A 6,046-nucleotide genomic window follows, 5' to 3' on the forward strand; every position below is an offset into this window, starting at 1 on the left:
TTATGACATTGCCATAATTTTTTGTCCAGTTTGCCTTACTCCACTGTTGAGTCAGATAAGATTATCTGAGACCTGACTGGAGTTAGCTCACCTCCAAGAGCGTAAATAAAAGAACATATGGTTCGTTGATAGGACCAGCAGTGCCAAGGATAGTGGCCTGCATGAAGTAGATTCTTATTAAATATTTGTCTTAGGGGTGAGGGATGAATCCCCTGGGATCACCAGGAGCTAGAAAGGGATATTTTTTCACAAGAGTACAACCCAGTTTAGGTCCATGAAAACATCAGGTTTGAAGGTCCTATCCCTGTTAGGTCATTTAGACCCCTGCTCATGAGGTAGCCCACAGGCACTATACCAGTCCCATAACCACTAACACTTACCAGAGAAATAAGGTTGCCAAAGCTCAGTCCTATATATTAATACCATCTCAGACAGTGGAGAAAGACATGCATTTGTTGTTTCAATATATATCTGTTCCTCACTATCAATGTTAATCTTCTCATGAAAACTGTCTCCAAATGGAAAGCTATTAATTCAAAAGAAAAAAAGTACTAATTGCAATGGAAAAAGATATAAATGGAATAATACAGTATGTGTCCTTCTGTGAGGGCTTATTTCTCTCAGCATAATACCCTCAAGATTCATGATGTTGTCAAATATCGCAGAACTTTCTTCTTTTCAAAGGCTGAATGAGGCAGAGCACAGTGGCTCACTCCTGTAATCCCAGAACTTACAGAGGCCAAGACACGTGGATCGCTTGAGGCCAGAAGTTTGAGACCAGCCTGGGCAACATGGTGAAACCCTGTCTCTACTAAAAATACAAAAATTAGCCAGGCTTGTTGCCACATGCCTATAGTCACAGGTACTTGAGAGGCTGAGACAGAAGGATTGCTTGAACCCAGAGGCAGAGGTTGCAGTGAGCCAAGATTGCACCACTGTGCCACTGTACACTCCAGGCTAGGCAACAGAGTAAGACCCTGTCTCAAAAAGAAAAAAAAAGGTTGTATAATATTATACACACACACACACATACCTCACATATTTTCCTTATCCATTTATCTAACAGTGGACATTTAAGTTGTTTCCACTTCTTGTCTATTGTTAATACCACAATTAAAAAAAAAAAGACATTGTTATGGTTTGATTTGTGTCCCCACCCAAATCTCATTTTGAATTGTAACTCCCACATTTCCCACATGTCATGGGAGGAATCCAGTGGGAGGTAACTGAATCATGAGGATGGGTCTTTCCCATGGTGTTCTCAGGAGAGTGAATAAGTCTCACGTGATCTGATGGTTTTAAAAATGGGAGTTTCCCTACAGAAGCTCTCTGCCTCCTGCCATCCATGTAAGACCATGACTCGTAGGGTCCAGCAAGATGGCTGAATAGGAACAGCTCCAGTCTGCAGCTCCCAGCGAGATCCACCTAGAAGGCAGGTGATTTCTGCACTTCCAACTGAGGTACGTGGTTCATCTCACTGGGACTGGTTGGACAGTGGGCAGAGACCATGGAGGGTGAGCTGAAGCAGGGTGGGGCGTTGCCTCACCCAGGAAGTGCAAGGGGTCGGGGGATTTCCCTTTCCTAGCCAAGGGAAGCCTTGACAGTCTGTACCAAGAGAAATGATACACTCCTGCCCAGATACTGCACTTTTCCCATAGTCTTCACAACCAGCAGACAAGGAGATTCCCTCGGGTGCCTGGCTCAGTGGGTCCCACATCCATTGGCTTGAAATCCTTGCTGCCAGCGCAGCAGTCTGAGATCAACCTGGGATGCTTGAGCTTGGTAGGGGGAGGGGTGTCGGCCATTACTGAGGCTTGAGTAGGCGGTTTTATGCTCACAGTGTAAACAAAGCAACTGCAAAGTTCAAACTGGGAGGAGCCCACCACAGCTCAGCAAGGCTGACTGCCACTCTAGATTTCACCTCTGTGGGCAGGGCATCTCTGAACAAAAGGCAGCCCCAGTCAGGGACTTATATATAAAACCCTCATCTCCCTGGGACAGAGCACCTGGGGGAAGGGGCAGCTGTGGGCACAGCTTCAGCAGACTTAAACATCCCTGCCTGACAGCTTTGAAGAGAGCAGTGGTTCTCCCATCATGGCATTCAAGCACTGATAAAGGACAGACTGCCTCCTCAAGTGGGTCCCTGACCCCCGTGTAGCCTAACTGGGGGACACCTCCCAGTAGGGACCGACAGGCACCTCATACAGGAGAGCTCTAGCTGGCATCTGGCATGTGCCCCTCTGGGACCAAGCTTCCAGAGAAAGGATCGGGCAGCAATAGTTGCTGTTCTGCAGCTTCTGCTGGTAATACCCAGGCAAACAGTGTCTGGAGTGTACCTCCAGCAAACTCCAACAGACCTGCAGCTGAGGGGCCTGTTAGAAGGAAAACTAACAAACAGAAAGGAATAGCATCAACATCAACAAAAAGGACATAGACACCAAAACCCCATCCATAGGTCACCAACATCAAAGAACGAAGGTATACAAAACCACAAAGATGGGGAAAAACCAGCTGAAAATTCCCAAAACCAGAATGCCTGTTCTCCTCCAAAGGATCACAACCCCTCGCCAGCAAGGGAACAAAACTGGACAGAGAATGAGTTTGGTGAATTGACTGAAGTAGGCTTCAGAAGGTGGGTAATAACAAACTCCTCTGAGCTAAAGGAGAATGTTCTAACTCAGTGCAAGGAAGCTAAGAACCTTGAAAAAGGGTTAGATGAATTGCTAACTAGAATATCCAGTGTAGAGAAGAACATAAATGACCTGATGGAGCTGAAACATGCAGCATGAGAACTTCATGAAGCATACTCAAGTTTCAATAGTCGATTGATCAAGCGAAAGAAAGGACATCAGTGATTGAAGATCAACTTAATGAAATAAAGCGAGAAGACAAGATTAGAGAAAAAAGAGTGAAAAGAAATGAACAAAGCCTCCAAGAAATATGGGACTATGTGAAAAGACCAAATCTACATTTGATTGGTATACCTGAAAGTGACAGGGAGAATGGAACCAAGTAGGAAAACACTCTTCAGGATTTTATCCGGGAGAACTTCCACAACCTAGCAAGGTAGACCAACATTCAAATTCAGGAAATACAGAGAACACCACAAAGATATTCCTCAAAAAGAGCCACCCCAAGACACATAATCGTCAGATTCACCAAGGATGAATTGAAGGAAAAAATGTCGAGGGCAGCCAGAGAGAAAGTTCAGGTTACCCACCAAGAGAAGCCCATCAGGCTAACAGCGGATCTCTCAACAGAAACCCGACAAGCAAGAAGAGAATGGGGGCCAATATTCAACATTCTAAAAGAAAAGAATTTTCAACCCAGAATTTCATATCCAGCCCAACTAACTTTCATAAGTGAAGGAGAAATAAAATCCTTTACAGACAAGCAAATGCTGAGAGATTTTTATCACCACTAGGCTTGCCTTAGAAGAGTTCCTGAAGGAAGCACTAAACATGGAAAGGAACAACTGGTACCAGTCACTGCAAAAACATGCCAAATTGTAAAGACCATTGACACTATGAAGAAACTGCATCAACTAATGGCCAAAATAACCACCTAGCATCATAATGACAGAATCAAATTCACACATAACAATATTAACCTTAAATGTAAACGGGCTAAATGCCCCAATTAAAAGACTTAGACTGGCAAACTGGATCTTTATCAACTCAAGACCCATTAGTGTGCTGTATTCAGGAGACCCATCTCATGTGCAAAGACACACATAGGCTCAAAATAAAGGGATGGAGGAAGATTTACCAAGCAAATGGAAAGCAAAAAAAAAAAAAAAAAAGCAGGGGTTGCAATCCTAGTCTCTGATAAAACAGACTTTAAACCAACAAAGGTCGAAAGAGAAAAGAAGGGCATTACATAATGGTAAATGGATCAATACAACAAGAAGAGCTAACTATCCTAAATATATATGCATGAATATAGGAGCACCCAGATTCATAAAGCAAGTTCTTAGAGACCTACAAAGAGACTTAGACTCCCATACAATAATAGTGGGAGACTTTAACACCCCACTCAATATATTAGATCAACAAGACAGAAAATTAACAAGGATATCCAGGATTTGAACTCAGCTCTGGACCAAGCAGAAAAAATAGACATCTACAGAACTCTCCACCCCAAATCAACAGAATATACATTCTTCTCAGCACCACATCACACTTATTCTAAAATCAACCACATAATTGGAAGTAAAACACTTCTCAGCAAATGTAAAAGAACAGAAATCACAACAAACTGTCTCTCAGACCACAGTACAATCAAATTAGAACTCAGGATTAAGAAACTCACTCAAAACCGCACAACTACATGGAAACTGAACAACCTGCTCCTGAATGACTACTGGGGTAAATAACAAAATGAAGACAGGAATAAAGATGTTCTTTGAACTCAAATCTACAAGAAAAAAATAAACAGCCCCATCAAAAAGTGGGCGAAGGATATGAACAGACACTTCTCAAAAGAAGACATTTATCAGCCAACAGACACATGAAAAAAATGCTTATCATCACTGGCCATCAGAGAAATGCAAATCAAAACCACAATGAGATACCACCTCACACCAGTTAGAATGGTGATCATTAGAATGTCAGGAAACAACAGGTGCTAGAGAGGATGTGGAGAAATAGGAACACTTTTATACTGTTGGTGGGACTGTAAAGTAGTTCAACCATTGTGGAAGTCAGTGTGGCGATTCCTCAGGGATCTAGAACTACCATTTGACCCAGCCATCCCATTACTGGGTATATACCCAAAGGATTACAAATCATGCTGCTATAAAGACACATGCACACGTATGTCTATTTTGGCACTATTCACAATAGCAAAGACTTGGAACCAATCCAAATGTCCAACAGTGATAGACTGGATTAAGAAAATGTGGCACATATACATCATGGAATACTATGCAGCCATAAAAAATGATGAGTTCATGTCCTTTGTAGGGACATGGATGAGGCTAGAAACCATCATTCTCAGCAAACTATTGCAAGGACAAAAAACCAAACACCGCATGTTCTCACTCATAGGTAGGAATTGAACAAAGAGAACACATGGACACAGGAAGAAGAACATCACACACTGGGGACTGTTGTGGGGTGGGGGGAGTGGGGAGGGATAGCATTAGGAGATATACCTAATGTTAAATGACGAGTTGATGGGTGCAGCACACCAACATGGCACACGTATACATATGTAACTAACCTGCACATTGTGCACATGTAGCCTAAAACTTAAAGTATAATTAAAAAAAAAAAAGAAGTTCTTTGAAATCAATGAACACAAAGACAAAATGTACCAGAATCTCTGGGACACATTTAAAGCAGTGTGCAGAGGGAAATTTATAGCACTAAATGCCCACAAGAAAAAGCAGGAAAGATCTAAAATCGACACCCTAACATCACAATTAAAAGATCTAGAGAAGCAAAAGTAAACAAATTCAAAAGCTAGCAGAAGACAAGAAATAACTAAGATCAGAGCAGAACTGAAGGAGATAGAGACACAAAAAGCCCTTCAAAAAATCAATGAATCCAGGAGCTGGTTTTTTGAAAAGATCGAGAAAATAGATACACTGCTACACTGCTAGCCAGACTAACAAAGAAGAAAAGAGAGAAGAATGAAGTAGATGCAATAAAAAATGATAAAGGGGATATCACCACTGATCCCACAGAAAAATACAAACTACCATCAGGGAATACTATAAATACCTCTATGCAAATAAACTAGAAAATCTAGAAGAAATCGATAAATTCCTGGACACATACACCCTCCCAAGACTAAACTAAGAAGAAGTCGAATCTCTGAATAGAACAATAACAAGTTCTGAAGTTGTGGCAGTAATTAATATCCTACCAGCCAAAAAAAGGACCAGACCGATTCACAGCTGAATTCTACCAGAGGTACAAAAAGGAGCTGGTACCATTCCTTCTGAAACTATTCCAATCAATAGAAAAAGAGGGAATCCTCCCTAACTCATTCATGAGGTCAGCATCATCCTGATACAAAAACCTGGCAGAGACAAAACAAC

The 6,046-nt window shown here is 41.9% G+C and overlaps 2 annotated features.

The window, feature by feature from the left end:
• Positions 914-2,113: an enhancer, noted in NCBI's record as "BRD4-independent group 4 enhancer chr9:13791089-13792288 (GRCh37/hg19 assembly coordinates)". NCBI's record gives its function as "activates an origin of replication core promoter dependent on BRD2, P300/CBP, MED14 and CDK7 cofactors, and independent of BRD4, by STARR-seq in HCT116 cells {active_cell/tissue: HCT116}" and the evidence as "EXISTENCE:reporter gene assay evidence [ECO:0000049][PMID:35650434]".
• Positions 1,114-1,903: an enhancer, noted in NCBI's record as "H3K27ac-H3K4me1 hESC enhancer chr9:13791289-13792078 (GRCh37/hg19 assembly coordinates)". NCBI's record gives its function as "activates a minimal SCP1, AML or CMV promoter by ChIP-STARR-seq in naive and primed H9 embryonic stem cells {active_cell/tissue: H9 hESC(naive and primed)}" and the evidence as "EXISTENCE:reporter gene assay evidence [ECO:0000049][PMID:30033119]".

This window comes from Homo sapiens, chromosome 9, assembly GCF_000001405.40.
Source record: "Homo sapiens chromosome 9, GRCh38.p14 Primary Assembly".
Lineage (NCBI taxonomy): Eukaryota > Metazoa > Chordata > Mammalia > Primates > Hominidae > Homo > Homo sapiens.